We start from the raw sequence: 25,117 nt of genomic DNA, 5'->3' as shown, positions 1-25,117 counted from the left end.
GAGCTTATAAACAGACGTGTAAGTAGGAGAGATATCGCTAAATTCTTCTTGTAGCAAGGAATATTAAATATTAAGACCCTAGGAAAAGAATTGCATTCCCAGGGGGAGGTCTATAAACGGCCACTCTGGGAGTGTCTGTCTTACGCAGTTGAGATAAGGACTGAAATACACCCTGGTCTCCTGCGGTACCCTCAGGCTTATTAGGATGGGGAAAAAATCCTGCTGTGGTAAATCTGAGGTCAGACCGGTTTTCTGCTCTTGAACCCTGTTTTCTGTTGTTTAAGATGTTTATCAAGACAATACATGCACAGTGGAACATAGACCCTCATCAGTAATTCTAAGTTTGCCCTTTGCCTTGTGATCTTTGCATTGCCCTTTGCCTTGTGATCTTTATTGGCCTCAGAAGCATGTGATCTTGTTCTCCCTTTTGCCCTTTGAAGCATGTGATCTTTGTGACCTACTCCCTGTTCATACACCCCCTCCCCTTTTGAAATCCTTAATAAAAACTTGCTGGTTTTGTGGCTCGGGGCCTCACGGTCCTGCTGATATGTGACATCACCCCCGGAGGCCCAGCTGTAAATTCCTCTCTTTGTACTCTTTCTCTTTATTTCTCAGACCAGCCGACACTTAGGGAAAATAGAACCTACGCTGAAATTTTGGGGGCAGGTTCTCTTGCTAGGTATGTATTTTTTTCATTTACTTACTTCCATTCTTTTAATGTAATTTTTCACCACAATCCAGACTCTCAGTAATCCTTTCCTTGCTTTTGTTTAAAGATTTACTCCAAAAATGTGGCCTATAGTTTTAGTTCAGCAAATACAAATTTGAAAGATTTATTTATGTGTATTTATGACTAGTTTCTAACGACATTATGTTTATAAGATTCATCCAGGTTATTGCATGTAGTTGTAATTCATTTATTTTTATTCTCTAGAAGAAGAATTGCTGGGTCAAAAGTTATTCATATTGTCACATTTATTAGACAATGTCCAATTGCTTTCCAAAGTGGTGGTACCAATTTATATTCCCTTAGTAGGGCTTGAGTCTGAGTGATTCACTTCCTAACCAACTCTTATTTTTGGAATTTTTAATTGTTGCCAACCTTTTAGGTATGAAATACACACCATGATTTTAATTTGCATTTCTTTGATAATGAGATTAAGCCTTTTCCCATAAGCTTATGATTGTGTCCTATTGTCTGTTAAGTACCTGTTTAAGACTTTTTCTCATATTCACCTGAGATTTTTAGACATTACTTTTTTAGGAATATTTTATGTATCCCAGTTAATAATTCTTAATCAGTTGTATCTGTAGCATAAGTCTTGCAAGGTAGTAGCTTAATAGTTTTCAAGTTTTTTATGGAGTATTTGGCTGATCAGACTTCCTTAAAATTAAGTTGAATTTAAGTTTCCTTTAAGTTTGCACTTTTTAAATGCTCTATCACCTCAAAAAAGATCCAGTACTTTTATGGAGATAGTCCTTTTATTGTCATGTAAAATCCTACTAACACTCCGTTCTGTAGCTATTTCAAGAAACCATGTGAATTAGTTGAGGAGGATTAGTAGGAGATTTGGTCCTCCCCAAATTCTGAAAGTGGGGCTTGAGTATTTTATTACTCATTACTGTGATCACATTTGTAGTTTTCATCTTTTGTTGTCTCAGGAAAGAAACCATTTGCAAATGCAGAGCCCTCCAGAAGTTACCTTGAGTATTTTATTGCAGAAGAAAAATATGCCCTAATGGTGCCAATAGGGGTCAAACAACTTCTATAAAGAAAATTATTAAAATAATGTGAGTAAAATGTAGTGGCAATCCCTAAGAGGGACGGATTTAGAGAGAACAGAAAATGAAGAGGGAAAATAGTGATACATTTATTGGGTTCAATAACTGTTAAAAATTAATAGGAAACTAGAGCAAGAGGTATGTGGTGACCTAGCACTTAAGTTAGCTCTGTTATACTTCCAAAGGCATATTTGAGGTTTTGGCCTTCTGGGCAAGTTTTGGTAGGGTGTCTGTCATTTTCCCTCTACTGCTGGAAAAGAAGGCTCAAGAGGAAGAATCCAGGTACTTTGTATTTTAATCAGGACTATTTATTTGGGCCGATTGGAAATAAGTTAAAATCTCTGCTCTTGAATTAAATCAGAGTTTATTTACCTCAGTGTTTGGAATTTTAGCAGTTCATGAGGACAAATAGTCTTTTTGTTCATTTCATAATCTCAGCTGTAGAGTTGCCCAGAGTGCTCAGATAAGTGTGTCTTTTCATTTTGATTTGCTTAGAAAGGATGTCAGTAGGGACTTGCTATTATGATGATATTGAGCTGAAATTTATATTTCTGAGGAAAATGAAAGGCTATCAGAAGTCATTTGTTAAAATTTCTTTATTCTGTCTTCCCCATCCCCATCAATATTTCTCCCTCTTTTAAAAGACTATTGCCTAGAATTTTATAGAATAAGCCCTCCTATTCTGGGAAACTGTACTGTGGTCCTATTTATATTTTGTTTGAAGGGTAATTTTCTTTTAATGTAAGACTAATGCCATGTTAGAATTAGATTCTGTGAAAATATTTCTTGAAGCTTTGAATATATGTTATACCTATTTATGCAATTCAGGAATGCTTTCTGGTAGTGAAATGTAATGTTAAAAAATACCAAAAAAAGCAAGTATAAGTTTGAGCTAAAGTTAATGACTTTCTAATTGACTTATTTCTGTTTGGGCACGCTGGTTGATGCATGTGATATTTGTATAGAAATAAATTGAATGGATAATATTGTTAGGGGTGGTGAATATCTGAGTTACTGGTGGCAAATCTGTATGGGTCTGCAGCAATCTCATTTCTTGCCTCCTCGAAAGAAAGAATTCAACTGAGGGGCATAAGGCAGTAAAAGAGACCAAGGCAAGTTTCAGAGCAGGAGCAGAAGTTTATTAAAAAGCTTTAGAACAGGAAAGAAAGGAAAACACACTTGGGAGAGACCCAAGCAGGCATCTTGGAGGTCAAGTGCCTCGTTCATCCTTGAACCTAGGATTTTATATGCTGGCCTACTTCTGGCATCTTGCACCCCTTTCCCTTCATCCTTCCCTTAAGGGTTATGGGGAGCCACCCACATGCATGGTGCCCTGCTTGTGCTTGGGATGTGGGCATGCACAGTGTGTTTACTGGAGTTTTATGCATGCTTATCTGAGGCTTTCTTTCAAATTCTGGTGGAATGCCCCTGGAAGGTCATACTCTGCCATTTTGACTCTTAATGTGCATGTTTGAGCTCATTCGCCCAGTTCCTGAAAGCTGCCAATTATCAATTTCAGGTGTTTTTATCAGTTGAGAAACTGCCTCTCCCTGGTGCTGGCTGTGACCAATTGTTATTTTAGAGAAGCAGAGTGACCATCACCTGATAGTCACCTGACATTCTGGTGGGTGGGGGCAACCCTCTCCTGCCCCACTCATGCATGACTAGCTACCTACTGTAACAATATGTAGAAGAAATACTATACCTTAAGCTTATTTAGAGTAGGAACTGCATCTTATCTGTCAGTGACTATGACATGTAGACTCTTGATAAATTCTTTTTGAAGTACTAATCAATTTGACTAAGAGTTGGAAATGTAGATTCCATTTCTGACTCTCATGTATTTCTGTATGATCTTAAGTACTCAATTTCTTGATTACAAGAAAACAAATGAAATACGGTACTTGGAAGCTATAGTATCACTTATTTTTAAGCTTCTCAGGAAACATATTCAATGTTTACTCACCACTGAATTATCATTCTCAGGACTTCTCTCTCTGTAGGCTCATTCTTGTCAGCATGTATTTATGTCTGTGTCTGTCTCATCTCTCATCTATATATACACATATATGCAACACAAACACTGTTGCATATATTTTCTTTTACTTTCAATCTGTCTTTTTTTGACAATGTGTTTCTGAAAAATAACCACTTGCTTTTTCAATTAGTTTGACAATCTGTCTTCTTTTTTATTTTTATGTATGTATTTATTTTAGAGATAGGATTTCAGCTCTTTCACCCAAGGTGGAGTCAGCTCTTTCACCCAGTGGCATGATCACAGCTCACTGCATCCTTGACCTCTTGGGCTCAAGCAATTCTTCTGCCTCAGCCTCTCAAGCAGCTGGGACTACAAGTTTGCCCCACCACACCCAGCTAATTTTTACTTTTTTTTTGTAGAGATGGGATCTCACTATGTTGCCCAGGCTGGTCTCAACCTCCTGGGATCAACCGGTCCTCATACCTCAGCCTCCCAAAGTGCTAGGATTACAGGCATGAGTCACCACGCCTGGCCTGTGTCTTCTAATTGGAGTGTTTGATCTGTTTGTATTTAACGTAATTATTGATATGTGTGGGTTTAAACTCCCATTTCCATTCATCCCATTTATTATTTGCTCCTTTATTCCTCCTTTCCTCTTGTGGCAGATTGCATTTCCCAAAAATGTATACACAAATACACATACAAATACACACACACAGCCAGGTGCGGTGGCTCATGCCTGTAATCCCAGCACTTTGGGAGGCTGAGGCAGGCGGATCATTTGAGGTCAGGAGTTTGAGACCAGCCTGACCAACATGCTGAAACCCCATCTCTACTAAAAAAACACAAAAAAATTGGCCAGGCATGGTGGTGGGTGCCTGTAATCCCAGCTACTCGGGAGGCTGAGGCAGGAGAATCACTTGAACTGGGAAGTGGAGATTGCAGTGAGCCAAGATTGCACCACTGCACTCCAGCCTGGGCGACAGAGCAAGACTCCATCTTAAAAAATAAAAAGCAAATACACATACACGTTTCATCCACTTAAAAAAATTTTACAATGTGATTGACATATCTCCTACTGTTAATAGGTATCAACATTTTCTCCACTTGAATTTTGATGGGAGCTTGTGGCTGCTATTAAATGGCAGAGATTATGCTATGTGATTTCCAGTGCTAGGATATAAAAAGGATACAGCTTCTACCTAGCTTTTTCTCTCTTGTGTTGCTTGCCCTTCCAACCCAGCCACCATGCTGTGAGTAAGCTTGCTCTGTGGTAAGTGAGCAGGTCTGTGCAAACCTACCCCCAAAGGCCAAGGGAGCTGAGACACTGAACAAAGAGAGTGACAAAACAGTTTCTCAGAGAGAAACATTTAATAGGGGCTTACAAACAGAAGCTGTGTCTCAGGCAGCTGTGAGACAAAGGATCCCCTCACTGTTACTCCCCAGACCCAGGGTTGATATACCATAGGGAAAGGATATACATGCTTCAGCAGGAATATGTAGGAATTTGCCTAAGGGTAGGATTTATGGTAGGTGCTCTTATACAAGAGATAGTAGATAAGGCAGAAATCTTAAAGGCATTCCTAGAAGTGGGATTAATCAGATGTCAACTGGCAGATTAGAATTCAAGATGGAGTTGCTATAACCTCCACACTCCAGCTTTCTAATTGGGCTTTTAGAATCTCACACACTGTCCTCTTCTTCAATGGTCTTTGAGTTTAGAGGAAGGGTGCTTGATATTGTACAGCTTTAGCAGCAGTGCACTGGCAATGGGAAACAGATCAGGCCCAGTGGGATTTCAGATGAGAAAAAATGCATAGGCTTTCTTGAATCATCTCTAGTCTTTGGAGTACCATGATTTTGATTTTCTTGGATGAAGTAAAACAATGAGAGATAAATAACATTAATATGCACACAAGGGACTACAATCAAAAACAGAATTTGTATGCCAGAACAACAACAACAAAAAAGAACCTATTCCATTAGGGAGCCAACTAAAAACAACATGAAGAAAATTAAAACCGGGTTTGTCTTTAGAGACTTCTTGTAGCCACAAAATAATTTAGGATTTAGTCCAAATTGTAGGCAAGTAATAAAAACAATGGTTAAGACTAGAATCTAATCATGGGTGTACAATAGTTTTCTTCTGAAACAATTTTTTTCTAAGTTTCTCTATTTCTACCAAGGATAAATTATTGTAGGACCAATTTATTTGCAAAATGAATTTTAGTCTCATTATGCTTGACCTGATTATTTGCATAAAGTGCAGCAAGAATAGTGATTGGCCATATAGGTTCTTGTAAAATTGGCTTTTTTGGAACTTTTAAATAAAGAATCTCAGATTTTTTTAAAGCCTTGAGGCTAACAAAGCCAGGGATTTGCCATCAGGCTGCAATAGCTGTATAAATTGGGTGAATTCTTCTAAAGATTTCCAAATAACTGGAGGTTCCTGGGCATGTCAAAATGCGACATTCGCCGGATGCGGTGGCTCACGCCTGTAATCCCAGCACTTTGGGAGGCTGAGGCAGGCGGATCACCTGAGGTCAGGAGTTGGAGACCTCCTAACAATGGTATTTCTGGTTTTAGATCCTTGAGGAATCACCATACTGTCTTCTACAATGGTTGAAGTAATTTACACTCCCACCAACAGTGTACAACTGTTCCTATTTCTCCACATCCTCTCCAGCATCTGTTGTTTCTTGACTTTTTAATGATCACCATTCTAACTGGCATGAGATATTATCTCATTGTGGTTTTGATTTGCATTTCTCTAATGACCAGTGATGATGAGCTTTTTTTAAATATGTTTGTTGGCTGCATAAATGTCTTCTTTTGAGAAGTGTCTGTTTATATCCTTCACCCACTTTTTGATGAGGCAGTTTGTTTTTTTCTTGTAAATTTGTTTAAGTTCCTTGTAGATTCTGGATGTTAGCCCTTTGTCAGATGGATAGACTGCAAACATTTTCTTTCATTCTGTAGGTTGCCTGTTCACTCTGATGATAGTTTCTTTTGCTGAACAGAAGCTCTTTAGTTTAATTAGATCCCATTTGTCAATTTTGGCTTCTGGTGAAATTGCTTTTGGTGTTTTAGTCATGAAATCTTTGCCTGTGCCTATGTCCTGAATGGTATTGCTTAGGTTTTCTTCTAGGGTTTTTATAGTTTTAGGTTTTACATTTAAGTCTTTAATCCATCTTGAGTTAATTTTTGTATAAGGTGTAAGGAAGAAGTCTAGTTTCCATTTTCTGCATATGGCTAGCCAGTTTTCCCAGGACCGTTTATTAAATAGGGAATCCTTTCTCTGTTGCTTGTTTTTGTCAGGTTTGTCAAAGATCAGATGGTTGTAGATGTGTAGTGTTATTTCTGAGGCCTCTGTTCTGTTCCATTGGTCTATATATCTGTTTTGGTACCAGTACCATGCTGTTTTGTTTACTGTAGCCTTGTAGTATAGTTTGAAGTCAGGTAGCATGATGCCTCCAGTGTTGTTCTTTTTGCTTAGGATTGTCTTGACTATATGGGCTCTTTTTTGGTTCCATATGAAATTTAAAGTAGTTTTTTCTAGTTCTGTGAATAGTATTGAATTTATAAATTACTTTGGGCAGTATGGCCATTTTCACAGTATCACTTCTTCCTATCAATGAGCATGGAATTATTTTTCCATTTGTTTATGTCCTCTCTTATTTCCTTGAGCAGTGGTTTGTAGTTCTCCTTGAAGAGGTCCTTCACTTCCCTTGTAAGCTGTATTCCTATGTATTTTATTCTCTTTGTAGCAGTTGTGATTGGGAGTTCACTCACGTTTTGGCTCTCTGCTTGTCTAATATTGGTATAGTAATGCTTGTGATTTTTGCACATTGATTTTGTATCCTGAGACTTTGCTGAAGTTGCTTATCAGCTTAAGGAGTTTTTAGACTGAGATGATGGGGTTCTCTAAATATAGAATCATGTCATCTGCAAACAGAGACAATTTGTCTTCCTCTCTTCCTATTTGAATACCCCTTATTTCTTTCTCTTGCCTTATTGCCCTGGCTAGAACTTCCAATACTTTGTTGAATAGGAGAGGTGAGAGAGGACATCCTTGTCTTGTGCTGGTTTTCAAAGGGAATGCTTCCAGGTTTGCCCATTCATTATGATATTGGCTATGGGTTTGTCATAAATAGCTCTTATTATTTTGAGATATGTTCCATCAATATCTAGTTTACTGAGAGTTTTTAGCATGAAGGGGTGTTGTAAACATTTTAGCTTTTATAATCCTATCAATCCTTATATTTTATGCTCTAGTCTCAGGAACTTCTGTACTCCACCCCCAGACCATTTTACCCTCTCTTGTGAAAAAACCTCTGGGTTCCCAGCAAGGAGTTGAGCCAAGGGATGTGGGCCTTTTTGTCAATCTTTATCTGATTAGTCTGTCTCCACATTGCCCCAGGAAATTATTAATCAGCTTTCTCATTGTAATTTTTGCCTTCTGATTTTTGAAACTTCCCCAATCTGGTGTAAATATAGAAAACTGATTTGGGGCTCTTTAATGTTGGGGAACCAGCAGGGACTCCCTTTGGTCCACCCAACATTTGATAGTGTTGTATTAAGACTCAAAAGGTAAACAAAAATTTTATTATCTCTCATTAATACTATCCAAAAATCTTGTTCAAAAGAGAAAACTAAATTTTGCTTTGTATTAGAGTATTATCAATAGTAAAGCTAATTTTAATAAAATTTTATGAATGATTTCATTGACTCTCACTCAGCTTTTGACCACACAAGAATTCCATAAAGCTTTTCTCTATCCAAAGGAATATAAATAAATCACTCTACCATAAAGACACATGCATATGAAAGTTCATTGCAGCACTATTCACAATAGCTTTTCACAGTTTCAAAGACATGGAATCTACCTAATGCCCATTAATGCCCTCTTACAAAATTGCTTTCTATGTTTCTCTTTCTCTAACTTTTAGATCTATTTATTTGTATCTATATCATTTCTTCCATTCATTTTGAAACAATCTTTAAAATACCACTAAACCGGGCCAGCATGCCTACATGCTCCTAGTCTTTGTGCACGAGTGGGAGGTGGCAGGCCTCCAACAATGCAGCTAGTCTTTGTGCGTGAGTGGGAGGTGGCAGGCCTCCAACTGTGGCCTTCTCTGCTGACTGTTCTAGTGAGGCATCCCCAGCCATGAACCATTTTGGTACCTGGTTGGTGGGAGGCAGGGTGACCCCATTGCTGCCACTGAAAGCCCGCAACAATGAAAATCTCAACAAAATTGGTATGTCTTTGGATGATATCATCAAACTAAATTGACAGGGAGGAAAGAAGCATAATTTTCTAACTGGAGCCTGGCAATTCAGGATGAGCATATGATGGAGAATTCAACAGAATTCTGGCTTTGGTAAGACTAGTCTGAGCACAGAGGATGAGTAATGCCTGGAAAGAGACAGCTTTATGGAGTTATCACTGGCCTTGCATCTAGGAAAGCAACTGGAATTCACAAAGAAATTAATCCTATGAATCATCCGTCTCTAGGTGACAGGAATATAGAACGATATTTTCTAGTGTTAAAAAGGAAGGCAAACCTTCTGGGACAAATATGAAGTGCAGAAAAAAACCAGTTGCAGTTCTCAAGGGACCTAACCAGCTAAACAGAAAAAAAAAACATTCCAGCCAATTTTACCAAGAATGGAAATAAATTAAGCCATCAGAAACACATGCGTCAGGCAACTTTTCATTTCAGAAGAGACGTGAAGGTTCAGACCCAGTTGAACACAACAGCAACTGCTGGATAACGTAGTCGGAAAGAGAACTCATCAATGGCAGATTTTTGTTGCAGGACTTCTTTTTAGTTCAGCTAAAGATGTGGTCCTTGTCCCACGGCCACAAAAATTTAGGCTCACAATTTGCGGAGTGAGAAAAATGGAACTTATTGGGCAAAAAGGAGAAAAGGGGGAACAGTTACTTTCGGCAAAGCCGGAATCGCAGCTAGTGCGCTCCCTGCCTCGCCATTTGAATCCAAGGTTCCACACAGGAAGAGGAGGGGCCAGGCTCCTCCCTACTGCAAATAGCAGAAACTTCGGTGGCACCCCAGTGTGCATTCCTCCCAGTTCGCCCGCGGTTGGAGTTTTTCCATGGACTCCTTCCCACTGGCTGTCTCACTTTCACCACAAACGGAGGAATTTTGACTCTATCTTTGGACAATCCTGGAGCAGTGCAATGCCTAACACAGAAATCAGGATTAATTCATACTGCTGTATCTTCATTTTTAACAAAATGGAAGCAATCTGACATAACGAAAGTTCCTAAAGTGGAACCCTACAATTGACATAAATTGTGCTGGAAAACAGACAGAGATGACTTTGAATGAGAAGTTTAGGATCCTGAAGGAACAAAGAGCCACTCTGACAAACAACAAAGGAGGAAGCTGCTTTGTAACTGTATTAGTCTGTTCACACACTGCTAATAAAGACATACCTGAGAGTAGGTAATTTATAAAGGAAAGAGGTTTAATGGACTCAAAGTTTCACATGGCTGGAGAGGCCTCACAATCATAGCAGAAGACAAAGGAGAAGCAAAGTCATGTCTTACATGGTGTCAGGCAAAAGAGCTTGTGCAGGGAACTCCCATGTATAAAACCATCAGTTCTTGTGAGACTTATTCACTACCATGAGAACAGTATGGGGGGGAACAACTCCCGTGATTCATTTATTTCCACCTGGCCCTGCCCTTAACATGTGGGGATTATTACAATTCAAGGTTAAGATTTGGTTGGGAACACAGCCAAACCATATCAGTAATCATGGGATAGATCCCATATCAAAGGGAATTTTGAGTGATGACGCTGAAAAATTGAATTGCTTGAAGAGTTCATCACAGAAATTCAAGAAACTATGCTTCAAAACATTCACAAGGCTAACTCATTTTTATTTCTGAAGGTTTTTTTTTTTAAATAAAGCAGGTATGATATAATGCCCTGAGACAATAACAGGGAATATACCTGTTCTTAAAGATTTCATTGTTGGCTCAGACAGAACAATTATCTATTTGACTTCTTTGGTTCCTCTTATAGCAGAAGGAAGATAGAAATATAGAAACTGATTATTTTTATGATAGTGGTATTTAGGATCTCATTGCCTTTGCCCATTTTTTTAGATTTTATCATGACAAATCTTGGCCTTCTGAAATATGGGTAGGTCCCTTTGTTGCTATCAGTTATCCTTTAATAGTGTTGATGCAGTAAATACAGTTGCCTTGTCTTCATGAGAGATATTTTTAAAAATATTGGAATTCTAGTTTGGAGTTTCAAGATTTATGAAAATATCTGAAACTTGGTTCACTTTTCAGGTACATTTTAGGCTAATACCCCAGAATTATGAATTTTTAGTGCTGAACTTAGAAATGTGGCTCTAGGCATTAGTCTCAGCTTAAAATGTTGGTGCTTAAAGACTGAAGATGCATATTTACAAAGTTAATCTGATAGGGCCTTGGAGGAGAGGGTCCAGTTTAAGAATCTGACAGTTTGTATTTAGTGAATGAAAGCATGAGAGCAAGTAGCAAGTTGAAAGACAGGTAACTGAGATGAGAAACTTCAAAACTTAGGTCATGTGTACTGTTTGGATTTAGTGTAGTCTTGAGTCTAGTGTCCACAAATAATTCTTCAAATGATATTTAGAAGAATTATAATTATTTAAATGGAGTCCTTCAGACATTTTGATAGTAAAATTAATAGGCGTAAAGTCCTAAACTTTATTTGAAAAGTTACTTCTCATTTGAAAAGTTAAAATTTATGAGCTTTGAAGCTTGCTAAATTAATTTATAGCTCCAAAACCAAAAATATACTTGTATATGTCACAAATAACAGAAGCAAAATATATAATAGAATTACATTGTACCTTGTTGTTTACCTTTCACTGATTTCTTGTATGGTATAAAGCTCAGTATTGATGGGGAGAAAAGGGCTTCGCCCCTACCCCCGAGACCTTTGATGGGTGGGAGGAGTTAGTCTGTTTGCCAAGATAGTGCTGAGTCCTCAGATGTTGAACACTATAAATTATAGTATAATGACAAATTCAGCAAAATGTTCCAGCTATAAGTTACAGGTTTAGTCATTTTGAAGCTTGACGTTTTAGTTTGCTATAATGTTAAAAACATCCAAGTAGGTGATAGTTTCTCTGGAGTATATTATTAGTGTTGACTTTTCCTATAAAACAAAACATCGTTATCGTTCAGCCTGCCTTGCATTTTATACTAGACTTCATTCTTGTCTCTCATGCTTCTTGGGTTACTTAATGGTTTATGCTAGCCCTGAAAGCTATCAGTAAAAATTTCATGCTTATATCAAAGAATTAAATCTGATCCTTTAATATCTGATATTTTGCCAGTACTTCTAGTGATAAGGGATTTTTGGAAGTCAGTCACAGAATTTAAAAATAAATTCTAGTCTTTCCTCAGCTATTTGATACTCATCCCTGTTCCTGCAAAAGACATGATCACATTATTTTTTATGGCTATGGGGACAAATAGGCCAAGTACTCATTGCCAAGCATTTTTGTAAGTATGCATGCTTATATTTGGTCCAGAAACAATGCATTCTAGATTGGTTTAGAATTACTGGTAGCTTATTTTACAGCAAGGAAAAGCAGCTGAGCAAGAATTTGCTGTCTTTAGAACAGTTTGTGAAATATGATATAAGGGTGTTTTCATTTCCTATTCCCTATTCTCTCTCTACTCTGCTCCTCTGACCCCATTCATTGAAAGGCAGCTGCCTTATTTTACATGAAGGTGTGCAATGCCTCAGATTTCTTTCAGCTTGCACCCCTGATCTCGGTCTGAGCACATGGTGAAGCTCTACGGAAAGTTGGCAGATAGAGAAAGACTTACTCTGTGGCTACAGTTTCTTGGAATTCTAGTTTATCAAACCAATCCACACATATCCATTAAAAGTACATTAAATTTTCTGTTGATTTCTCCTTATTTTTTTCTGTTGGGTTTATTTTTTGCTGCTTTATCATAATTGTAAATCAGCATGTAGGAGAGAAAACTTTCTGTTTCCTATGGAGCAGCTTGTCACTTGCTGGAGTTCAATTCATGTAGATTCTTTGCATTCTCAGTAATCTAATGAGTTACAAACAAAACAAAAATAAAGACCAAAAAAAAAAAAAAAACCAACAACCCCAAAACTAATTTTGTAGTTTATGCAGATAGTTGTGTTTGTTAGAGAGAGAACAGTGGTAACTCTTGTGGCTTTCTTCACACTAATCAAAAGGAGATGGGCATTTCTTAATTTTTAAAAGGTTACAAAAAGCTCAGCAAGACTTTTATGTACCTGAATGGCCTGTCAGCTTCTAGTTTTGCTTTCCTTTGGGTAAATCCTAAGTACAAAGCTATGGATGTTTTTTCTCTAAAGAGCAATACACACACCACCCCTTTTGTTCTTTCCAAAGATTTTATTCTCATTCTTTTGAGAAGATCCTTCTGGGTTTTTTTTTTTTTTAACTTTCATTTTAGGATCGGGGGTATATGTGCAGGATTGTTACATAGGTATATTGTGTGATGATGCTGAGGTGAACCTGTCACCCTGATATTAAGTACCCAATAGGTAGTTTTTCAGCCCTTGCCCCCATCCCTCTCTCTGTCCTCTTGCAGTCCCCAGTGTCTTCTGTTCCCAATGTCCGTGTGTACCCAATGTTTAGCTCCCACTTATAATTGAGAACATGAGGTATTTGGTTATCTGTTTCTTCATTAGTTCACTTAGGGAAATGGCCTTTAGCTGCATCCATGTTGCTGCAAAGGACATGGTTTCATTTTTTCATGGCTGTATAGTATTCCTATTCCATGATCCCTCTATTTTTTTATGTTCTGTTGCAGGTAAACTCTTGGATGCAAGGCATTCTGTTTCCAGGACTTGAGGAAGGGATTAGCGTGAAGTCAAATGTCTCATATATATATAAACGTTCAATAAATAACCATATTTTCAAACCCACATCTTATTTTTATCCTCCATTGTACCTGATTTCTTTTAAAGGTTCTGTATAACAGATTGTGTTATCTTCCTAGATGTATTGATACCATTCATGCATATTTTGGCTGCTGCTTCTTTAACAGTGGTTCATTATTGTTATAAAATTTGTCAGCTTGCTTACTGTCTTCTGGAAATTCATTGAAAGCTCTCAGGTGTCTTGTACTAGAAGACTATATCAGGAAGTTTCTAAAGAACTAGAGGGTTAGAACTGACTCCTAAGTGGTCTGACTGCTGATTCAATTCACCTTTCATCAACCCTTATCTCTACTTTATTTTACTGCTCCTCTTTCTTTCTTTTTTGAGGTTTTGAGGTTTTGCTGAAGATATTCCTGAAGAATCATCCCAGGTGCCACACTAAAAAAATGATCCAGTTGACAGCTACCCCTGTGAGTGCACTTGTTGATGAGCCAGTGCATATCCGAGCTACAGGCCTGATTCCCTTTCAGATGGTGAGTTTTCAGGCATCACTGGAAGATGAAAACGGAGACATGTTTTATTCTCAAGCCCACTATAGGGCCAATGAATTCGGTGAGGTGGACCTGAATCATGCTTCTTCACTTGGAGGGGATTATATGGGAGTCCACCCCATGGGTCTCTTCTGGTCTCTGAAACCTGAAAAGCTATTAACAAGACTGTTGAAAAGAGATGTGATGAATAGGCCTTTCCAGGTCCAAGTAAAACTTTATGACTTAGAGTTAATAGTGAACAATAAAGTTGCCAGTGCTCCAAAGGCCAGCCTGACTTTGGAGAGGTGGTATGTGGCACCTGGTGTCACACGAATTAAGGTTCGAGAAGGCCGCCTTCGAGGAGCTCTCTTTCTCCCTCCAGGTGAGTAGAATTACTCTGCTTATTGTTATTCTTGTTTTTCCACTTTAAATACATTATCCGTCTAGAAATTTAGCTTGAATAGCTTGTAGAATTACTCTGGTTATTGTTATTATTGTTTTTCCACCTTAAATGCATTATCCCTCCAGAAATTTAACTTGAATATGGATAATACCTAGAGCACTGCTTCCTGCCTTACAATCAATGTTAACCTTGGGTCTGAACAAGAATGTGGTAATATTCTACTCCAGCTCAAGTTTCATCTCAACAATTCTGAAGCTTGTCTAAGAATGTGACTACATATAGTTTATGTAGTCCCTACATTATGGGCTTTACATAGCTTTGGATTTATGCTAAATTTTTCTGCACTGAAGCCAAGATGGGAGGATTAATAGAGGCCAACAGTTCAAGACCAGCCTGGGCAACATAGCCAAACTCTTTCTCTATAAATACTAAAAAATTAGCTGGGTGTGGTAGCAGGCACCTGTAGTCCCAGCTACTCAGCAGGGGCTGAGGAGGAAAGATCTCTTGAGCCTCGGAGATTGAGGCTGCAGTGAGCCATGTTCCTGATACTGCACTCCAGCCTGGGTGACAAAGCAAAAAAAAAAAAAAAAAAAAAAAGGATAATGCATGCAAAATGCTTATCATAGAACCTGGCAATACTAAGCACTCAAAGATGAACAAATGTTAGACAAAACTTTCTATGATCTGACTTCTGCATACTTCTTCAGCCTTATCTTATAGCTCTAATCTTATAGCTATATGAAGACCCTCATCTTGATGTGATGGAAACCATATCCCAGATCCTTGTACAGGCTCTGTCAGGTTGAGTTTCAGTTTAGGCATGGGTTATTACCTTGTTGCCACAACAAGCTGGAGATAAGATGGACTGAAAGATTGCAGCAAATATAGAGGATGCAAGAAACTTTGTAACCTCTAGCTTCATAAATATTACATATTTATAGACTATTCCATGAATCTAATAATATAGCATGCTTCCTAATGGCTATAAAACTTATCAGAACGCTCATAGTTTCCCACAGAAATCTCCAAATACCAATAAATAAGTGGTTTAAACATGTTTTGGTACATTTCTCAGAGTTTATTGTGGGGCCAAATAAAGCAAAGTTAATTTCTCAGAAGAAAAAAAAGCAATAAAAGCTTTCCTTTCCAAATTCACCATAACCCATGTACTTGTTCGGATAAATTTGAGTTTTTAAAATACCCAGTAAATAGCATATAGACCACTTTATTATGTATAGGGACCAAGAATTAAATGGCACAAATTGCTGTGCCTCTATTATCCCACCCCAGTTAAAAATCTGCTTATTGGTACAGGCCTTCCATCTTGGGATGATGTGCTGGTTTAGGGTGTGCTGTTTGTGAATCCTCTTGAACACTGCATGTGCTGGGTCTCCCGCTTCAAGTGTGTTTTCTATCGGGGGAACAAAAGAGAGCTGAGTTGTGTGAGGTTATAAGGAGGTTGAGTCAGATCACAAATATTTCATGACTGTAACATTCTTCCAAGATAAAAGACTCAGTACTTTTAAGTGTTCCCCCATTCTTGTCAATCAGATGGTAAAAACATCCTTATTCATTTATGCAAATGATAATTTAAAACTAAGATATATTCAACTTCACTTTATTTATTATTTATTCATTGTACTTAATTATAGTAATTTTTAAAAATTCCCAATACTCCTTTAAATCAAGCCACTTCTTTCAAATATGGATGGGATCACTCTGTCTTAGTTAAAACCACTTATAAAAGAATAGAATATCCCTAATAAGTGCATCGTAAGTTTCTTTCAGTGTGTGGGCTCTGCTTTATTTTGGAAAAAAGCTGCCTATACAGAGTGACTGTAGAATGATACTCTGGCCGTCCCTACTTTTTACCACGTGTCAGCCTGCAAAAAATGAACATGGCGTTATTGAATAAAGGGGCTCATCATTTACATAAGCTTAGGTGTAAGGTTTCATCACTGTATAGTCAAATGAATGTAGCAGAGCAGTGTTAAGTCAGGATTTTAGCTAATACAATCATTTAAAAAATGTTTTTGAATCATGTATTTCTTTGAGAACCAAATTAAATCTGTGGAACCTCTCATAAGTAAAATTCACCTACAAATATATATATACCATATTTTGCATATATTGTAATTTCAGGATCTTCACAGATTTCCTAAAGCTTATTTGTATACTTCTTTATAGGTTAAGAAGCCCTGGCCTAATTTATATGCCTTTCTTTACAACAAGAGTATAGAAACTACTGTGAATTCCCATTTCCTCAGCTGCAGAGAGTAAATATGTCTCTGAATGTAGTTCCTAGTCAAACGTCTAGATATTGTGTTCCATTATATATTCAATGGACCTTAATTCTGCCCCAGGTAGAAGGCTGAAAGTGTTGGAATTGTATTTGAATATTTAAATGTTAATTTCAAAATTACATTTGAATGTAATTTTGCATTTCTGCTTTGTGTTCTCATGTTTTTATTATCTTTTATTTATTTATTTTATCTTTTATTATCTAATCATTTGTATTTCTGCTTTGTATTTTCAAGTTTTCTTATCTTTTCCACACCTTCTCTTCATGTACAATTCTGTTTTGTTATTTTTCAGGAGAGGGTCTCTTCCCAGGGGTAATTGATTTGTTTGGTGGTTTGGGTGGGCTGCTTGAATTTCGGGCCAGCCTCCTAGCCAGTCGTGGCTTCGCCTCCTTGGCCTTGGCTTACCATAACTATGAAGACCTGCCCCGCAAACCAGAAGTAACAGATTTGGAATATTTTGAGGAGGCTGCCAACTTTCTCCTGAGACATCCAAAGGTAATTTTTGTCTTTTCAGTAGGTTTGAGTCCCTGGGGTTTTTTTGTTTCTGTTTTTGTTTTTGTTAAAAGACAGGGTCTTGCTCCGTCACCCAGGCTGGAGTGCAGTGGCATGATCTGACACTTGGCCAGAAGCCAGTGCCTTTTGATACTACAATGTGCACAGGCTAACTTCCTATGCATTTTGTCTTTCTGAGCAAAAGACACTGGATGAGAAATAAATCATGTGAATTATAAATAACATGGGCATGAATAGAATTTCAAGTTCACTGAGAATCGTACTTGGAAGTTAAGAGAAGTCATAGGATATTATGGTTATTTTTTAAAAAGGGACTGGCTGGGTGTGATGGCTCAAGCCTGTAATTCTAGCACTCTGGGAGGCCAAGATGGGAGGATTAATAGAGGCCGACAGTTCAAGACCAGCCTGGGCAACATAGCCAAACTCTTTCTCTATAAATACTAAAAAAATAGCTGGGTGTGGTAGCAGGCACCTGTAGTCCCACTTACTTAGCAGGGGCTGAGGAGGAAAGATCGCTTGAGCCTGGGAGGTTGAGACTGCGGTGAGCCATGTTCCTGCCACTGTACTCCAGCCTGGGTGACAAAGCAAAAAAAAAAAAAGGATAATGCATGCAAAATGCTTATCATAGAACCTGGCAATACTAAGCACTCAAAGATGAACAAATGTTAGACAAAACTTTCTGTGATCTGACTTCTACATACTGCTTCAGCCTTATCTTATAGCTCTAATTATTAACTAGCTATCATTTTTCTCATCACTATACTTAACTGGACAGATAATCTGTATTTCTTTGAAGAATGAGTCTGAATTTTTAGTTACTCATGAGCCCTTAAACATAATACTATTAGTGCTTTCCAATCCATATGCCTTTTAAAATTTTAAAACATGTGCTTTGCTACTATGATATGGGATAGAGTTGGAGTTTATTAAACCTTGTTAATTGCCCAATATTTTTTCTTTCCTTTCCTTTTTTTTTTTTTTTTTTCTTTTTTTGACAGAGTCTCGCTCTGTCACCTAGGCTAGAGGCAGTGGCACAATCTCAGCTCACTGCAACCTCCACCTCCCAGGTTCAAGCAATTTTCCTACCTTAGCCTCCTGAGTAGCTGGGACTATAGGCGCGTGCCACCATACCTGGCTAATTTTTGTATTTTTAGTAGAGACGGGGTTTTGCCATATTGGGAAAGCTGGTCTCCAACTCCTGACCTCAAGTGATCCACCTGCCTTGGCCTCTATTTTTTTTTTTAATAAGAATTGAAATAAAATTAAATCTCCATACTACATGTTTTTTTATATAAGGATCACCAAAATATAATCAGGTTTGCAGAAATAAGATAAGCAACAATTACTGACAATCTACTGATGTAGTGAACATTTTAAATGGCTATTTTTGATGCATATAATGGAACTGCCCTCGAAATGTCAGTCAATATTATCATTGTGAGCCTTCTTCTTGGCTTAGATGAGAAGTGGAGAGGTTATGTGATTCTCTTTTTTCACGGTCTTTGCCTCGTTCCCCTTATATTTGCTGCATGACTTTTTCATCACTGTTCTTGCCAGTGTCACATAGATAGCTAGTTAATGATTAATCCAGGCCTGGAAACCAGATTTTTTTCCCCAGACTCTGAGAAATTCCATTAAACCTACTTCACATTGTCTCTTCTGCAGGATGATAGAACAGAGATCTTTCTTGCAGGTCTTATTTCTCTATGTGTTGATTTTAAGTAACTTCTAAGAACTCATAATTTCCTGATCCCAAATTTTGTGGTAGAAGTTGTAACAAGAGTTACTGTTTTGGCAAGGGACAGAAACATATTAAAAAGCCTGCACAGATATGAGTCATGCTTTTTTGTTCTTTCGTGTTATACTTGCTTTTACTTTATCTTTCATGGCCAAATCCACTCTGAGTTCCCATCTTTCCTTAACATAACTGTCGCTCTCTATCTTATATATTAAGATATAGGATTGGGAGGGGTGGGGGAGAAAGGTAGGTCAAAGGGTACAAAGTTTCTGTTAGACAAGAAGACTAAGATCTGGTGATCTGTTGCACAGCATGGTGACTATAGTTAATAATAATGTATTGTATATTTCCAAATTGCTAAAAGATTAGATTTTAAATGTTCTTACCCCAAAGAAATGGTAAGTTTGTGAGGTAATGGATATGTTAATCAGCCTGATTTGTTCATTCCACCATGTATATATGCACTGAAATATCACATTATGCACCATAAATATGTATAATTATTATTTGTCAATTAAAAATAAAAATTAGGCCAGGCACAGTGGCTCATGCCTGTAATCCCAGCACTTTGGGAGGCCGAGGTGGGCAGATCACCTGAGATCAGGGGTTCAAGACCAGCCTGGCCAACATGGAGAAAACCCAACTCTACTAAAAATACAAAAATTAGCCAGGTGTGGTGGCGGGCGCCTGTAGTTCCAGCTCGGGAGGCTGAGGCCAGAGAATTGCTTGAACCTGAGAGGCGGAGGTTGCAGTGAGCCGAGATTGAGCCACCACACTCCAGCCTGGGTGACAGAATGAGACTCAGTCTCAAAAAATAAAAATAAAGTAAAAAATAATAAATTAAAATTAAAATTAAAAAAATACAGAATTTCAGAGCTTGAAAGGAACTTTTAATTGATTCAAGCCACCCCTGTTAAATATACAGGGTAGGAAATAGAGAGTATATATGACTCATTCCATTTGTTTAGTTTTTTTTTTCCCTCTTACCCTAAGAATTTCTCACATTTTCATCAGCTTGGCATGAGTTGTATATTGATTCATGTGTTTCTAAGTAGTAGGGAAAATATCCCAAACATTGGTTTATAAAATGCCTTTAAAATATAGGAGATCAATTAAAATAAATACAGGAAGTCAACAAAGGTTTTAGAAAAGTGATGCTTCTCTCTAGGACTCTGTCCTTGCCAGGAGCCAGTGCTCAAGGAGAATCGGAGCTTTATTTTGTGACACAACAATTTTCTTTAACTCCTCCTTAGAATTCCCAACCAAATTGGTAACTGGGAGCAATACACTCAATACTCAAAAATAACTCATGAACATGTAGTTTCCTTTTCATTTTTACTGCTGTTACCTTAGTTCAGGACAGTATAATTTTCTGCTTTTATCAGTGCATTAATCTGTGGCTTTTCTGCCTCCATTTATGCAAGTCAGAGTTGTAAACACAACTATTTTACTCGCTTGCTTAAGAGTCTCCCTATTTATTATAGGATAAAGGCCAGGCTTCCTAGCATGTTAGACAAAGCTTCCTATGATCTGACTTCTGCATACTTATTCAGTCTTATCTTATGCCCATCCTTAAAATTTGTCCTAATTTTCCTCCTTAGTTAGGAAAAAAACTGAAGATGCTTAATATATCTTTCAAAGCTATGCACCATAAAGTTGGTGTTTTCTGTTTCAGACTTATTATGTTATTTCCCACCTTATACTCTAAATTAAAATAATGAAGAATGACTTGTGGTTCCTCTAAATGCCTTGCTCTTCATTGCCTCTCAGTTTTTGCATGAGTTTCTCCTATGGTGAATACATTAGGAATGTTTTGGCTACATTTCTCAGAAAAGTGGCTGATGGTGGCTTAAACATCAGCATAAGGTATCTTATTCTCTTACATAACAGGTTTGGTGATAGGTGGTTCAAACTTTGGCTTAGAAACTCAGTGTAGTTTTCAATCAAGGAGATTAGATTGACATTTCTGCAATTTTCTAGCCTTACTCTGAAGGTCACAAAATGACTCTGGCAGTTTCAGGAATTAAGTCAACAGGCCAGCATCCTAGTCTGAAAAGAATGATCATAAACATAGGCTTTCTCTTCATGATTCTGTGTCAGTTTGCACGGGGGGCAAAAAAAGTCCTTAGGTAGAATATGTTGGCCTTGGAAGAGAGGCTGAGAAAGGGAAATAGATTAGGATCCATCAGAATTTATCCCTTGGGGCTGGATATATTGCTATGCCACACAAAATCAAGGTCATATTAGCTTTGAAATTGTGGAGAATGGCTCCTGTGTAGGCAACTAACAGAGTCTGCTATACTCAGCATAGAATACCATTCCTTCTTGTTGACTTTCTTGTAATTTTTATTTCTTGAGACAGGGTCTCACTCTATTGCCCAGGCTGGGGTACAATAGCACAATCATAGCTCACTAAAGCCTTGAACTCCTGGGCTCAAGTGATCCTTCCACCTCAACCTGAGTAGCTGGGCCTACAGGCACACACCGCCATATTCAACTAATTTTTTAGTTTTGTAGAGATAGGGTCTCACTATGTTAACCAGGCTTGGCTTTCATTTTTTAATACGAAGACTCATTTGTTTTGTAGCCCATTTCCTCTGAGAGCCTTTCTTTGATCCTGCCTTTATTCCCTGCTAATCTGGGTTGGCAGTCTAGCCTACATACATTCTCATATCATAGAATTTATGATGCTCCAATCATCTGGTGTGTTTTTTTTTTTCCTCCTGTGTCTTCATCTGGCAGTGAGTTCCTTAATGACAAGAGATTGTTCCTTTTCTCTCTGTGACTCCCAGTGCTTGCCGTAGGATAGATAATTTAAGGATGCTTATTTGATGACTGACAATGAGGGAGGAAGCTGAGCCAAGCCTCCTTTATGACATTTTTCTCCACAATGAGAAAACTTTTGGAAAAAACAAAGCAAATCTAGAATCCTCTGTTCAACTCTATCCTACTGATCTCACTTTCTTTCTCAGTCTCTTCCTACAAGGTGCCCTTTCCTCTGAAGGGAGGAAAGTGTACCAATCATCTATACCCTGACCCACATTATTCACAATAGTCATGTGCCATTTCTTACTTTCCCTGCGACATTTGCATTTCTTTAGGGCATTTTAAACTCAGAACCTAACACAATACTGAATCCGTAATATATAGTCGGTAAAGCTTGACATATTTTTGGAGTATTTCTTTTGAATACATATTATATATTCCAGAACTCTATAGCTAGGGATGTGGGTAGGATTAATACTTGCTTTGTTCTCATTAGCCAGTGAAGTTCTTTGGTTGTTTGAGATTGTGGAGTTTTCCTAAATGAAGGCTAGAATAATTTCTCATTTCTATTATTTTTTTCAGGTCTTTGGCTCAGGCGTTGGGGTAGTCTCTGTATGTCAAGGAGTACAGATTGGACTATCTATGGCTATTTACCTAAAGCAAGTCACAGCCACGGTACTTATTAATGGGACCAACTTTCCTTTTGGCATTCCACAGGTATATCATGGTCAGATCCATCAGCCCCTTCCCCATTCTGCACAATTAATATCCACCAATGCCTTGGGGTTACTAGAGCTCTATCGCACTTTTGAGACAACTCAAGTTGGGGCCAGTCAATATTTGTTTCCTATTGAAGAGGCCCAGGGGCAATTCCTCTTCATTGTAGGAGAAGGTGATAAGACTATCAACAGCAAAGCACACGCTGAACAAGCCATAGGACAGCTGAAGAGACATGGGAAGAACAACTGGACCCTGCTATCTTACCCTGGGGCAGGCCACCTGATAGAACCTCCCTATTCTCCTCTGTGCTGTGCCTCAACGACCCACGATTTGAGGTTACACTGGGGAGGAGAGGTGATCCCACACGCAGCTGCACAGGAACATGCTTGGAAGGAGATCCAGAGATTTCTCAGGAAGCACCTCATTCCAGATGTGACCAGTCAACTCTAAGAAGACTAGATATTCCTAGAAAATAAAGAAGCAAATCTCTTTACCGGGACCTTCTCTCAATTTTCATGGCGGAATGTCTCCCCCAGCTGCCACACACACATTTTGTATTAATTTTAATGATTAAAAAGAGCATAGGGTAAAAACCTGATATTTCACTTATACTGCATAACAAGCTAACCAAACTGGACATGGTGAATAAATCATAAAACAAATCATTTTACTTATTATTTACATGACTTTTCTTTCCATCAGGTCTTCTAAATAGGACTGAGGTATAGTACACTGGCAAAAATAAGAAAAGGCAAACAAGAATAGCACCAAAGTAACAGATATAAAACCAAATACCATGTCAGAAAACACTATATAGTAAGAATTTATCAGATTAGAGCAGCAGGAGAAAATTAATACTAAATTATAATCATTTTAGTGATATTTTTCAACTTCACCACAGTAACTTTGCAACATCATTTTTCATTTGTGGGGTAGTAAAATTCATGTCAAAAAGGAAAGAAGGAATGGAGGAGGTCAGTTAGTTCATTGCAATAAATTACCTCTTCAGTTCTTAAAAACATGCCCATTGGCACATAACTGAGACATAATAACTAAGACTGGAAGAGCCTTGGTTTAAGTTATGAAGCAAATTAAAATGGAAAATACAAGAAAATAGAACCAATTAGGTTGAAAATGCCCCTTACTGAAAATCTGTATTAAAAATAAAATTAATAAAAGTAAAAAATAAAAATAGAAACACAACTCTACTAGTACAGGCTAGCCTGGGGAGTTTGATAAACTGAGTGATTGGGTCAACTATCACTGTACTTCCATAATGAATTTCTTCAGTCATGTTAGAGTAGCACATGAATGTGAGCTCTATAAGGACAGGTACTATATTTCCGTAAGACCCAATAGTTACTGTACATCCCATAAATAAAAAATACTTTAGTTTGCTAACCAACTGAATATATGAGGACTGCATGTAATTCAACCACATGGTTGTTTGCTGTACAGTCCTTTGCAAATATTAAAAAATTTTTTTTGCTATAAGGCTTTGATCATATAGTCCTCATAGCAACATAACTACCATCTAGCATGTACCACATTTTGCAAGACTTTAAGTTCAACATTCCAAACTGCCAATTTGTATTATGTCCAAATGCAGTATCCTTGAGGAATATAGTGGGTCAGTTAAATATCTAGAGACATACAAACATCTGCTAATTCATCTCATTGAGATGGATCATTCTGATCTCCATCATCCACCCACTTTTCATCAGCTTCTCCTACTTCATTCTCCTCATAGTCTTTATCATGAGGGATTCTGTATCCTGTCTCTCATCTACACTTGCTGGCCTTCCTGGTTGTGATTTATTGGAACAGTCTACACAAAAACCATAGGGTCAAGATCCATGTCTTACTCCAACACTGGCTGCTAACATGATCTTACATACCATACATTTGCATTTTTATCCTTCTTGTGCACCAAGAAATGTTTTCTTACATGTTTTCTCCAAGTGTAAAAAGTCACAGCTAAATGATCTCACTCCTGTATGAATAAGCAAGTGCTTTTTTAGTGTTTGTTTGCATTTGGCTGCATAGCTACAATGATGGCATTTTAACTTATTCATGATTAGAGATGATGATATGGTTTGGATATTTGTTGTGCCCAAATTTCATGCTGAAATGTAATCCCTAGTGTTGGAGGTGAGGCCTGGTGGGAGTTGTTTGGGTCATGGGGGTGGACCCTCATGGCTTGGTACTGTCCTCATGAGAGTATGATAGTGAGTGAGTTCTCAAGAGATATGACTGTTTAAAAGTGTGTGGCACCTCCTCCCCATCCTCACACTCTTTCTTGCCTCCTCTCTCGCCATGTGAGATGCCTCCTCGCTGTTCACCTGCTGCCATGATTGTAAACTTCCTGAGGCCTCCCCAGAAGCCAAGTAGATGCAAGCATTATGCTTCTGTAAAGCCTGCAGGACCATGATCCAATTAAATCTCTTTTCTTTATAAATTA

General features: G+C 37.9%; 1 protein-coding gene and 1 pseudogene across 3 annotated transcripts; both read left to right on the top strand.

The window, feature by feature from the left end:
* On the top strand, nt 528-25,117 carry BAAT (bile acid-CoA:amino acid N-acyltransferase). Of its 3 annotated transcripts, none has more exons than NM_001701.4 (4): nt 528-679; nt 14,071-14,595; nt 17,212-17,414; nt 22,519-25,117. In NM_001701.4, the coding sequence occupies exons 2-4, from the start codon at nt 14,130-14,132 to the stop codon at nt 23,104-23,106; spliced, it is 1,257 nt and encodes a 418-aa protein (NP_001692.1). In that variant the 5' UTR covers nt 528-679; nt 14,071-14,129; the 3' UTR covers nt 23,107-25,117. The 3 variants fall into 3 exon arrangements, with proteins under 3 accessions (NP_001692.1, NP_001361644.1, NP_001121082.1); NM_001374715.1 differs by lacking the exon at nt 528-679 and adding an exon at nt 1,661-1,791; NM_001127610.2 differs by lacking the exon at nt 528-679 and adding an exon at nt 1,970-2,064.
* Nucleotides 9,023-12,405, top strand: FYTTD1P1 (forty-two-three domain containing 1 pseudogene 1; annotated as a pseudogene).

The sequence above is a fragment of the Homo sapiens genome, chromosome 9 (assembly GCF_000001405.40).
Source record: "Homo sapiens chromosome 9, GRCh38.p14 Primary Assembly".
Taxonomy (NCBI): domain Eukaryota; kingdom Metazoa; phylum Chordata; class Mammalia; order Primates; family Hominidae; genus Homo; species Homo sapiens.
This window is presented reverse-complemented; position numbering and strand designations above follow the sequence as displayed.

What these genes read in the sequence shown, in the direction of transcription:
- BAAT (NM_001701.4), top strand. Translation starts at nt 14,130, where the DNA reads ATGATCCAGTTGACAGCTACCCCTGTGAGTGCACTTGTTGATGAGCCA. An exon ending in AGCTCTCTTTCTCCCTCCAG is followed by an intron (nt 14,596 to 17,211) that starts GTGAGTAGAATT and finishes GTTATTTTTCAG; the next exon opens with GAGAGGGTCTCTTCCCAGGG. An exon ending in TTCTCCTGAGACATCCAAAG is followed by an intron (nt 17,415 to 22,518) that starts GTAATTTTTGTC and finishes TATTTTTTTCAG; the next exon opens with GTCTTTGGCTCAGGCGTTGG.